Source organism: Homo sapiens, chromosome 8 (genome assembly GCF_000001405.40).
Source record: "Homo sapiens chromosome 8, GRCh38.p14 Primary Assembly".
Classification (NCBI taxonomy): Eukaryota; Metazoa; Chordata; class Mammalia; order Primates; family Hominidae; genus Homo; species Homo sapiens.
This window is the reverse complement of record NC_000008.11, coordinates 73,154,617-73,167,689: the sequence shown is the minus strand read 5'-3', so window position 1 is coordinate 73,167,689 and position 13,073 is coordinate 73,154,617. Positions and strand designations below refer to the sequence as shown.

Below are 13,073 nucleotides of genomic sequence, written 5' to 3'. Positions count from 1 at the left end.
CATGCACACATGGGCCCGTGGTGGCCAGGGAGGGCATGGCTTTGAAATACGGCAGACCACGAGTTTCCTTAATGACTTGTTCACATTTATCTTCTCCATGAGTTCTTACATAAACATCAGGTCCAAGGCCACAGGTGAACAGAAACACATCCAGGGTTCTGGAGGAGTTCTGTCAGCTCAGAGACAGACTGTGTCAAAGCTTGCTCTTAGGACCTGCTGCCCCCACCCCGCTCTGTCCTCCATTGGTTTTGCCAGTTTTCAGAGTGTCACCCTATGTGACTCATTCTCACACCATTGCCAGGTGGGCAGGGCAAGTGTTACGTAGCATTGCTAAATGGAGCTCAAGTGTGTTAAGGAAATTGAAATTTAGACACAGCATACAATTTCTTCCATAATGCTGGGGAGAGGGGCGTCTCTCTGTGATCTCTCAGTACCCCTAAAGCCATTCTGCACAGCAGCTTTGGATGATTGGATGACTTTGGGAAGAGTTAGGCAAGGTCCAGAGTGATCTGTATATCTGATTTCCCCTAATAATTAATTAGTTAGTTTGTTCTTCTGTGGAGGCTTTAGGACCTGGCTAAGCTTTTAGTCGTCCTCTAGATCAGGGGTCACTAACCCCCAGGCCATGGACTGGTACTGGTCTGTGTGTGGCCTGTTAGGAACTGGGCCACACAGCAGGTGAGCAGTGGGTGAGTGAGCATTACTGCCTGAACTCCACCTCTTGTCAGATCAGCAGTGGCATTAGATTCCCACAGGAGCATGAACTGTATTGTGAACTGCACATGTGAGGGATCTAGGTTGTGTGCTCCTTATGAGAATCTAATGCCTGATGATCTGAGATGGAACAGTTTCATCCTGAAACAATCTCCCCTGTGTCTGTAGAAAAATTGTCTTCCATGAAACCAGTCCCTGGTGCCAAAAACGTTGGGGACCACTGCTCTAGGCCCCCACGTGACCTGAGTGCTAAACTGGACTTTCTATTTAAGACGTTAGAGGGTCTGTCTCTGAGGTTCCTCCTCCACCGTTTCTGACCTAAAATGTGTATGGATGGAACACGAATAATCAGAGACATGCTAGGACTCCACGGGCCTCCGAACAGATTTGCCTGGGCCTGGAGAGTCCAGGAGATACCCGCAGGCTCTAAGGCATTTGGACCTTCCAAGGAAGCAGGGATGTTGGGCATTTTTGCACTGACTACACACGCCCTCAAAATACTGTGCTCTGTTCTGGACTCAACAACTTATGAGTGACAGGAAAAAGTAAGATGAAAACTCAGAGGTAAGCCACAAAGATGAAAAAGTAGATTGGTAGATGTTATTTTTGCATGAAGATGGAAAAACTAGGAAGAGGCCATTTTGGAGAGAAAAAGTCAAGGGGAAGTTCGGGAATAATCTTCAAACACGTAAAGTTTATTTTACAAAAACAGGAGGCCATTGCTGTCCACGGAGAAGGGAACGAAGAGAGACGTGCATGCACTCTTGGCTGGGCGGATTCAATTAGCAAGAGGAAAACTGTCTTGCCAGCTAGAATGAGTGTCTGAAAGTTGTAAAATGACCTTCTCTGGCACCCTCCTAAGCAGGGTGGATTCTCCTCTTGCTAGTGAGTTTACGAGTTGAAGTCCCTGACAGTAGCAAAAGGGCTAGATCAGACATCCCATTAGCACTCACCCCAGTGGTTGTAATTTTTCACTGAAGACCAAATAAAATCTTTAGATTTGTAGAAAATGGCATCAAGAGAGCAAGAACATTAGAGAAAAAGGAAAATATTTGAACTGTCAGCTCCAGGAATTGTAAGCACAAGAGCTGGGATGCAGGGCCAGTGCCCTGGAACATGTAAAAGCCCAGCTTTGCTTCCCTCAACTATTTCTCAAACTGTTTACAAGATGGAATTAGCTATTCTTCCAAGCTTCCAGAATTCTGTGATTGTGAGTGCTTTTTACTTAAACATTTTTTAAAAATTTTTTTATTTTTATTTTTGAATTTTCATAATTTGGTGACAGAAATTGTTTCATTTTTATTTTTTGGAGACGGAAGTCTTGCTATGTTGCCCTGGCTGGTCTCAAACTCCTGGCCTCAAGCAATCCTCCCACCTTGGCCTCTCAAGTGGCTGGGCCTGCAGGCGTGCACCACCACACTTGGCTATGAGTGCTTTTTAAAAAGAATGGTTTGAATTTGTTTATATAAGCTACATAGGAATGACTCATTGTCCAGTCCATTGGCCACTCTGGAAGTGAAAAAAGAAGAAATAAGACTGTTTCGGTATTGAAGACCTAAACCAACAGTGAGGCTTGACTTTGCTGCGAGTTGCTTGATTTTCATGTGTGTGCATGTGTAAATAATAGCTGGTACCACTCTGAGCTGTGTTTCTCATTGTAGGGTTGGCTCTTAGTACTCTTGCGATGTAAGTCACAGCAATGTGCTGTGCTGAAACGGACAATGGACTCCATCACTATGAAACGGACAATGGACTGTCTCCATCACTAGGAACTGTGTGATCTTGGGCAAAGCCACCTAACTTGCAGAGTTCTGGTTTGCCTATCTCTAAGATGAAGTCTTTAGAATAGACTAGTGTTTCCTAAATGTCAGGCAATTGTCATTAAAGTCACATGTTTACCTTCCAACTACTACCTGTACTTTTATATTAATATTTTCTTTACATTAACTCATTTTAAAATTAGATAAATATACTTAAAAGGTAATTTTGTATCTTATTACACAAGGAATGCTACACTACTTGCCATAAGTAGAAAATAAATGCAAAGTAAACACAATGAAAATAAAACAATGTTATTAAATTCTAGCTAGTAACTGCTGCTTGCCAAAGACTGAGCCTGAGGCCTGTGCTCTCTCTTTACTAAAAGGAGATTCAGAAGTGTTAGAAACATATTAAAGATATATTAGTCCCCCCTCCAAAAAAAAAAAAGATATATTAGTCCCAAACTGATACTTTCTCTTTGACATAATCATGAGGGTTGAAAGGAACTTACAAGGCTGGCTAAATCTTTTTTAAGAAAACTTTTGTTTTGAAGTGATTTCAAATTTAGGGAAATTCGTAAGGACAATACAAAAGAACTCCTGTAGATCTTTTAGTCAGATTTACTAGTTACTAGTTCTGGCCATATTTGTTTATCATCCTCTTTTTTTTTTTTTGAGACGGAGTTTTGCTCTGTGGCTGAGGCTGGAGTGTAGTCACACAATCTTGGCTCACTGCAACCTCTGCCTCCTGGGTTCAAGCGATTCTCTTGCCTCAGCCTCCTGAGTGTCTGGGACTACAGGCATGCGCTACCACACCTGTCTAATTTTTTTTTTTTGTATTTTTAGTAGAGACAGGTTTCACCATGTTGGTCAGGCTGGTCTCGAACTCCTGACCTTAAAGGCTCTGCCCGCCTAGGCCTCCCAAAGTGCTGGGATTACTGGCATGAGCCACCACACTTGGCCCTCTTTCTTTCTGGATATATACTTGTAATTTATTTCTGAACTTTTAAGCAGGCTGCATATACTATACCTTTAATAACTCAATATGTGTTTCCTAATAACAAGGATATCCTCTTTTATAACCACAGCGTAATTATCATGTTCAGGAAATTTAACTTTGATGTGGTACTTCTGCCTGACTGAAGTGTATAATTCAATTTTGTCAACTGACCCAAGAACATTATTGATAGCCTTTTTTTTTTTCCCCCAGACCAGGAACCAGTTCAGATCATGTTTTGCATTCACTGGTGCTGTCTCTTTAGTCTTTTTAAGCCTGGAACAATTCCTCAGCCTTTCCTTGTCTTTCGTGATGTTGACATTTTTGAAGAAGGCAGGCCTAGTTACTTTATAAATTGACCCTAAATTCCTGGTTGTCTGATGTTTTATCTTGATTAGCTTCAGGAAACACTGGTATGCTTCTGATTTGCTAGTATTTAATGCCATGTCGATGTCCCTGTGAAATCCTTTCTTGTGTGATCCTGACAGCCACCCTATGCTTGGCTGACCCTGAAAGAGATCATCTCCATGTTAACTTTTATTACTATCTTTCTGAAGAAATCCAAATGCTAATATTGACCAAATCACATTATCTAAAATAAATCATATCATCCACAATATTTCATGTTGTTTCTGGTGCTACCAGATATTGTATAGACAGCCTAGAACTTCAAAAGAAGCTCTTTCTTTATACCTCTGTCTACAACAAGGATCCATGATGCTTTTCATTTGGGAGTCAGGAATGGCTGGGGAGAAAGAGTAAAGAGAAAGATGCATGAGGCCAGGCACGGTGGCTCACACCTGTAATCCCAGCACTTTGGGAGGCTGAGGCGGGCAGATCATCTGGGTTAAGGAGTTTGAGACCATCCTAGCCAACATAGTGAAACCCCATCGTCTGTACTAAAAACTACAAAAATTAGCTGGGTGTGGTGGCAGGTGCCTGTAATCCCAGCTACTTGGGAGGCTGAGGCAGGAGAATCACTTGCATTCGGGAGGTGGAGGTAGCAGTGAGCTGAAATCACGCTACTGATCTCCAGCCTGGGCGACAGAGGGAGTCTCAAAAAAAAAAAAAAAAGTAGATGGTTGTAGCAGTGATTTGTGCTCAAAGTGGCCTCTGTTGCGTACAGGCATGGAAAATAAATAATGGGTGAGAGATGGTCCCTGGTGAGGAATTATCTGGGTCAGAGTAGACGTCTTCACAAGCAGTTACAGAGGCAGACAGCAGCTGGTGGCCAAGAAGTATGACTCAAGTCTGTCACCGTGTCTGCTATATGAAGAATCTTTGTAGTTAAAAAAATATATGTTTAGAGACAGAAAACCAACTCAAACTGGCATAGGTAAAAAGAATAATTTATTGGCTCATTTATTAGGCTTCAAGAATAGTGAGATCCAGGAGCTCAAACGACATAATCAGGACTGTCTCTCCGCTCTACCTTTTTCCATGCCAGCTTCTTACTCAAATAGGCTCTTTCCATTTGGATAGAAAAAATGGCCCTGTTTGGCTTACACAATTGTCACAATCTTAGGAGAGACCCTCTTGTGCCTGTTGGTCTTCCAAAGTGCCCTCTGAATAACCCTCCCTGGGTCAAAAGTTTATCACCCAACCCATCATTGTGTTTAGGAAGGGGGAATACTCTGGCCCGGCCTGTGTCCCCCACCTCCCATTCCCTGGGGAGTCAGGGCACATGACTGACAAATCCCCCAGGTGTGGGAGAGGCAGTTCCCCAGTGGAAAAGGTATTTTGTTTGTTTTTGTTTTTGAGACAGAGCCTTGCTCTATCACCTAGGCTGGAGTGCGGTGGCATGATCTTGGCTCACTGCAACCTCCGTCTCCCAGGTTCAAGCAATTCTCCTGCCTCAGCCTCCCGAGTAGCTAGGACTACAGACATGCGCCACCGCGCCTGGCTAATTTTTGTATTTTTAGTAGAGACGTGGTTTCACTATGTTGACCAGACTGGTCTCGAGCTCCTGACCTCAGGTGATCCTCCTGCCTCGGCCTCCCAAAGTGCTGGGATTACAGGCATGAGCCACTGTGCCAGGCCCCAGATGGAAAAGATATTAGTCAAGGAAACAACAAGCAGATATTCAGGACAGCAATGATGCAGTATGGAGGATGATTTGGTGAGTTCTCTGATGCCATATTAAGAAGGCTTGGTGCAGTGTAGCGATTAAAAGCCCAGGTTTTGGTCTGAATCCTTGTTCTACCATTCACTAGTTCTGCTGGTACTTGGTAAATTATTACAAAATAAAAGCTGAGAGAGACATATTGCAATAAAGCATATCAGGAAATTATTAGAATTTTTCAGAGTTTAGAATCACTGGTTTTGAAAATTGTCATAACATTGCAAAGCAGATATCCACAGGGTTAGAAACAGAAATTAAATTTTGATTATCACCCTTAATGGAAAATAACTTTATTTCCACATGAAGCTCTGGATGAACCAAATCTAGTACTAACAAGGAAGATAATTTTATAATTAGTTTTTCCTTGCCACTGAAGATACAATGATAGAATGTAAAAACAGGTGTCTTGAATTATATATAAATCATAAAGCTACTTTCAGTTTCCTGTATGACTTCAACAAGCTACAGGGAATGTCAGAGGAAACATTAAAACGCCACTGTATAAATTTGCATCAAAAATTAAACTCAGACTCACACAAAACTGATTTGTATGAGGAGTTAAATCTTTTTAGAAAATCTCTTCTGCAAAAATTGTCAGCTCTAGATGTACTAAAATTTGTATTTCAAAAAAATTAACAAATTTATCTCAAAGTTGTCAGACTATAAAATACTTTTAACAACTTAAGCAATGGTGACTTTAGTGGAAAAGTCATTCTCAAAATTAAGGATTGTCAAAAATTATTTGTGACCTTGCATTTGCCAAGAACTGACATCACTTTCAATTATACTGATTAAGAATGATGTTGCTAAAAGCAATAAGTGACCTAATAAATGAATTTGTAGAAAAGCATGTGAGAAAAATCTTATGATCAATCAAGATAACATTATTACAACATTAACGTGATAACAATATCGTTCCCCGTATTATACAAAATTGACCCTTTTTTGCAATTTATAACTTTGTTATTAATGCATTGCTATTACCCCATAGTACATTTTATAAGTAATAAAATCTTTTTAATGAATTATATTTTAGTACCTTTAACTGCACTTTTCCTCCTGCTTTTTGAATAAGGGACCCTACATTTTCCATTTTCACAAGGCCCTGCAGATTATGTAGCTAGCACTAGTTACATGCTATACTTTAGGTGCAAGTGAAGCTGGAAAAACGTAGTTTCAGCGGATTCTACCTTGGGAAGGAGGATTTCGTAAAGGAAGAAACCAACTAGTCAGGAATGATAGACTATCAGCTCCCCACCCACCTCACTGGCTGCCAAACCACTAACCATATTTATTTTCTCTTGGTTTAGGAGATCCCAGCAAAGTTTGAAAGAGGATGAGATTCAGTGCACTAAACTCACCATTCTAAGGATCAGCCACTTCCAAAGGCTGGGGTGGTGCATCAAAGAGAAGCCAGCTGTGCCCCAGCTCCGTGAGGGGTGGTTTCCCTAACACCATGTGGCCCCTTGGCTCCAACTCAGCTTTCTCAATGCCTGTGGGCATTTGTCTGCCTCCCAGAAGTTATTTTTGTGCGTGTGTACTCTTTGGTGATTTTCCAATTCTGTTTAATGCACAGAATAGATAACTACAAATATTTACCTCTCTCAAAGCTAGGTCCCAGGAAATTCTTACTGATTTGAAAAGGTTAGTGATTTAATCTCATGCCATTTTCATGTGAGCTGCATGACCGTGAGTAGTCCCAGAATTCTCCTCTGCAAATATCCTGAAAGAAAAAGAACAAATTGTTCTGAATTGAAGAATGAATTCCAACCTGCTAACCAGAAACCTCCTCTGAGAGACTTGGCAAAGATGCATCTGCTGTCAATGCTTGGATCTTTCTTTTTATGCCTCAAAGGATACCATAAACACGTGTGTGTGTGGATGGCCAGTTTCCTAAAATAAATCTCATGTCTCATTCTTGTCCAGAGACTGGCCATCAAGCTCCCTGAGAAAACATGGTCTAAAAAGGAAGAATGGCCAGTCGTGTACCCCTAGAAAGAGACCACTGAAACACAATTTTTAATGTTTTAGAGATCACCCAGACCAAGTCCTTCTGTTTAGAGATAAGAACCCTGTGCCCGTGAGGCTGCTTGTTGGTTAGAGGATGAGTTGTGGACTCCTGGGTCCTGATCCAGGGTTTATCTGTTTCTCTTCCGCACCATCCCGCCACTGCCAAAACAAAGGAAGCAGGTGTCCAAGTGTCATCTAAGGGGTTTAGAGTACCTGTTTATCCCAGGAAGGGGAGACTTCTGGGTCTCCCACAGCAGGGAGCATAAAGGAGGAAAAGTCAAGACTAGAATACTGCTGTTTAGATTTGCAACTGGAATACTGGGGCCAGGTGGAACAGAAACAGGGATTAGAAAATTGCTTCAGTTTGGGATTGAGAAGGTAAGAAAGTGAGTTTGTATGCCATTTTTGTGGGAGAGGAGGAAGGAAAAGGCACCTGACTTTGACATCCCAAGAATCTGTGTGTGCGTGTGTGAGAGTGTGTGTTAGTGTGAGTGTGTGTGTGAGCATGTGTGTGTAGGCATATTTGAGTGTGTGAGCATGTGAGTGTGTGTGTGTGCATGTGTGAGTGTGTTCAAGAGTGATGGTTGTGAGACCACAAAGCTGCCATGGAGTCCCAGCTCCACTGCTGACTGGCTGTGTGCTCTGGGCAAGTCAAATCAAGTCATCTCTCTATGCCTCAGATTCTTTAGTTATAAAGTAGGGAGAATTGCCAAAGTCACTTCATAGAAATGTGAGGATTAAATGAGATTATCTATGCAATGTGCTTGGAATAGTGCCTGGCACATGGTAAGTGCTCCATAAATGTGTGCTTTTATTATCACATCAGGTAGCATCTATGACCTAGACTTTTCAGGCTGTTAGTGTACTGCGACCCCTGTCTACCAGGTACGCTTCTCACCTGCTGTACAGAGATGTAACATCCACCCATCCAGATTGCATGTAAACACAACTATGTTTAGAAAGGGACAAGCTCACCTCCCAGCCCACTCCTCCATGTGGGGATGCCCACCTCCCTCACCCACCTCGGACCTGCCTCCAACAATGGTTGGCAGGGTCAGAGGTCCATGGACTGTGGCTCGTATCCCAGTCCCTAAATGAAGACATTGTCTCCTTTCAGTCAGGAGAGTTGTGTCTGCATTTACCTATGAAATAAGTCAGATCTTAGGATTTATTCCTTATAGCGGATTTTTAATAAAAAATACCTTTTGCATGACTAGAGCAACATTGCCATATTGAATTGATTTTTGTCCACCTGCAGCCTGGGGAGACCAACCTTGCTCCTTGTTTCTTCTTTCTCATGACTTTATGGGCCTCCTGGGTTTCCTGGCTTTTTTATATTGGTGACTCTAGCTACTGAAACGTCTTTACTACTTTCTTTTCTTGCTGAACTGACTGGGTACCTGGAATCCTGCCCTTCTGAGGCTCCAGAGGGAGGCAGAACAGCAGAGGGTTAGATGATCTGAGACTCTGGGTTCAGGAGAGATTCTAGCCTGAGGCAAGGGTAGAGTTAATCAATAAAACAAGAAACCCTGAAGGGGACAAAAGCCCACATCCAAAGATGGGAGAGAAGTGCATGGTGGCTGGAGGTGCCACATACTAGCCTCATGGGCTGAGCCACAGGGGCCCCTGGCTGGCTGTAGCTCAGAATGAAGAGCTGCTTCCACTGCTACCTGCTTGGACTGAAGTGATGGAGGCCTTCCAGTGGGGGCCCTGACCTCAGGCAGCCCCCAGAGGCCCACATCGCTGGTCCCAAAGGACTCTTGATTCTCACTGACCACTGCTCAGCGAAGGGCAACACCACTGGGGTGAACTGGGTGTCCTCAGGGGTTCCTGAGCTATGGACAACTGTCTGGTAAATCCAAATAGATTGGTGGGCCAGACACAGCAGCTCACACCTGTAATCCCAACACTTCGGGAGGCTGAGGCTAGCAGATCACTTGAGCCTAGGAGTTTGAGACCAGCCTGGGTAACATGGCGAAACCCCATCTTTACAAAAACTACAAAAATTAGTTGGGCATGGTGGTGTGCATCTGTAACCCCAGCTATATGGGAGGCTAAGGTGGGATGATGGCTTGGGCCCAGGCAGCAGAAGTTGCAGTGAGCCGAGATCGTACCACTGCACTCCAGTCTGGATGACAGAGCAAGACCCTGTCTCAGAAATAAATAAATACATAAAACAAAGAGATTTGTATTTAAAAATTAAAAAAATTAGATGAGTGGCATAGGGTTTGCAGCAGCTGTGGTGTCTGGGGCCTGACCTCATAGTGAGATGTATAGTCGAAAACTGAGGTTGCTGGCCATGTCCCAGGCGAAGGAAACCTGACTGTAGATCTCTGGCATTCTGAGTTGATAACTTTATAATATTGTTCCCTATCCTCTTAGCAATTCACTTCCTTACTCACCTATCTACTCATTCCAACACCTGCTGAACGTCTACCATGAGGCAGACACTTTGCTGAGCAACAGAGAAATGGAGAAAAGAACAGAGCCCTGTCCTCAGTCAGGTCTGCTGGGAAGAAATCTTAAGAGAAATCCTCAGTGCTTAGAAAATTGCAGATTAATTTCATGTGTCAACTTGGCTGGGCCACAGTAGCCACGTATTTCATCAAACATTATACTAGTTGTTTCTGTGGAGTTATTTTTTCGATGATGTTAACACTTACATCAGTAGAGTTTTAGTAAAGCAAATGCCTCTCCATAATGTGGGTGAACCTTACCCAGTCAGTTGAAGGCCCTAACAGGAAAGACTGAGCTTCCCTGAATAAGAGGGAATTCTGCCAGCAGATTGCCCTTGGCCTGGAACTGCAGCTCTTCCCTGGGTTGCTAGCTTGCCAGCCTGCCTTGCACAGTTTGACTTCCCAGCCTCCATAATTGCAAGAGCCAATTCCCTAAAATCCCATAAAATAATTTCTCTCTCCCTCTCTTTCTTTTTCTGTCTACACACACACACACACACGCATGCACGCACACGCACATGCACACACCCTATTAGTTCTGTTTCTCTAGAAAACCCAAACTAATAGGGGAATACAGCCTCTGTTATATTCCTCTCCTGATGACCTTTGCATTTTATTAAACAAGTTTGGCATGAACCCGGGAGGCGGAGCTTTCAGTGAGCCGAGATCGCACCACTGCACTCCAGCCTGGGCGACAAAGTGAGACTCTGTCTAAAAAAATAAAAAAACCAAAACCAAAACCAAAAACCAAAACAAGTTTTTTTTTTTTCCCCAAAGATGAAATACACATTGTGGAAAACATAGAATATACAAACAAATAGGCTGGGTGTGGTGGCTCATGCCTGTAATTTCAGCACTTTGGGAGGCCAAGGTGGGAGGATCACTTGAGGTCAGGAGTTCAAGACCAGCCTGGGCAACATGGTGAAACCCCATCTCTACTAAAAATACAAAAATTAGCCACATGCAGTGACACATGCCTGTAGTCCCAGCTACTCAGGAGGCTGAGGTGGGAGAAGCATTTGAACCTGGGAGGTGGAGGTTACAGTGAGCCGGGATTGTTCCACTGCACTCTAGCCTGAGCGACAGAGCAAGACTCTGTCTCAAAAAAAAAAAAAAAAAAAAAAAGAAAGAAAGAAAAAATAAAAAAGAAAGAAAATACAAACAAATAGTACAAAATAGCCTGTAAACATCCTGCTGGGTGTGCCTTTTTTTTTCCTATGCAAACATAGACATGTATACTCAACAACAAAATTTGGATCATGAAGCTTTATTCTGTCTTTTTTCAAAAACATGAATCATGAGCATTTTAAAAATCTCATTAAAATTATATGGAAAGATGTTTAGGGCCTGCCCACTCATCTGTTTTTGTTGGAAATTTAGGTTGTTTCCTATTTCCTGTTATTATAAATAGCTATGCAATGAAAGTTTTTCTACATAAATCTGTCTGCCTCTCGGATTATTTCCTTAGGGAAGATTCCTGGGAGGGGAATTACTGAGAACGTTTGCCTCATAAATGGGAGAATTATGAAAAATGGAAGGGGAAAATGCAATAAATTGAATGAACTGGGCTTCTGAACTCATTTTAATGGAGAAAATAAGAAACACCTGACCTCCTCCAGGGCTGAAGTCATGGTCATTAGTGTTATTTAGGGAGACAGTTGGGTATGGTAGAAAGAAGCCGATTAGGAGCCAGAGCTTGGGTTCTGGGCCTGCTTCGCTTCTCTGTACAGCCAGGAGCCCCATGTTTTGCTTCCAGTTTCTTCATCTATAGAGAGGAGATATAGTAATGACCTTGCCTACTTTGCAAGAGGTTGCGAGGGCCATTGATGCAATTGGTGTGAATGACCCCTCTCACCCACCTGGCCTTTCCTCCCCCTTCCAGAACAAGCAGAACCCTGCTGCTTCTGGGAAGTCTGTTTAGACTTTCTGAGGATAAATCAGTAGCCTCTTCTCTAACATTCTCCAACCTCTTTTCTATAGCGTATATAACGTGGCATTAAAATAACCACTTCACACTTCTATTCCTCTAGCTGGCCTGCGAGTCTGAGTCTTATTCATCTTTTCTCCCCACTGATGCTTAGTATAGCATCAGGCATGCCAGAGATGCCCTATTCACATTGACTAAAATAAATAGTAAAGAGCTACATGAGCATCATTCACAAACATTTATTAAGCACCAACGGTGTGTCTCTGAACTCAAAGCACTCACTCGACAGAAGAAGAAATATCGCATTTGCTGAGTGCCCAATCAGTTGTGTGGATGCTCAGCACTGCAGGAACTTGGGCAGAGGGAAGACATCACTGAGGGCCCAAGTGGCCAAGAAGTCTTCTCAGACCAGACCTGGGCCTCTGAGAAACACTGGCCTCGGACGAAGAGAGAATACACAAAGGTAACCCCCCTGCAAAGGGGATAGCATGAGCAAGGGTCATCCAGTGGTGTAATATGTGGTCTGGTATACAGTAGGGGCCTCGTAAATACTTGCTGAGTGAGTAAAGAAGAGCACAGTGCAGTGCATCACATTTTCTGAGAACAAGATGGCCTTTTTGCACCTTCCCAAAGAGACTGTCTATTCTATCAATGCAAAAATGACATGTCATCCAATAAATAGGAATGGAGTGTCTAATCACCTCATCAGTTTCCAAATACAGGTACAAACACTGTCCAGCTAAATTTCCTCAGTGCTGCTCACAAAATTACAGGTCCACGTAGCTGTGCATGCTCCTCCACTGCCTCCTGTGACCTCCCTGGGTCTGTAGCAGATCTATGAGGAGCAACTGGCTACTCTGTCAGCTTCTGTTGACAGAGCTTCCACGAGCAAGTGACATGAAACTGAGGTGTCATCCTGCCTGATTCACGGTTCCTGTAGACAGGTTTTTTTTTTTTCTTTTTTTTGAGACGGAGTCTGGCTTTATTGCCCAGGCTGGAGTGCAGTGGCCTGATCTTGGCTCACTGAAACCTCTGCCTCCTGAGTTCAAGTGATTCTCCTGCCTCAGCCTCCCAAGTAGCTGGGACT

The 13,073-nt window shown here is 43.1% G+C and overlaps 1 long non-coding RNA gene across 1 annotated transcript in view; it reads left to right on the top strand.

Annotated features, from left to right (window-relative positions):
• LOC107986891 (uncharacterized) overlaps window positions 1-7,513 on the top strand; it is a 45,183-nt gene extending 37,670 nt beyond the window's left edge. The window contains exon 3 of the long non-coding RNA XR_001745719.1: window positions 6,904-7,513. This is a non-coding gene — a long non-coding RNA (uncharacterized LOC107986891). The remainder of the gene's footprint in view (window positions 1-6,903) is intronic.
• Window positions 7,514-13,073: the final 5,560 nt, after the last annotated feature.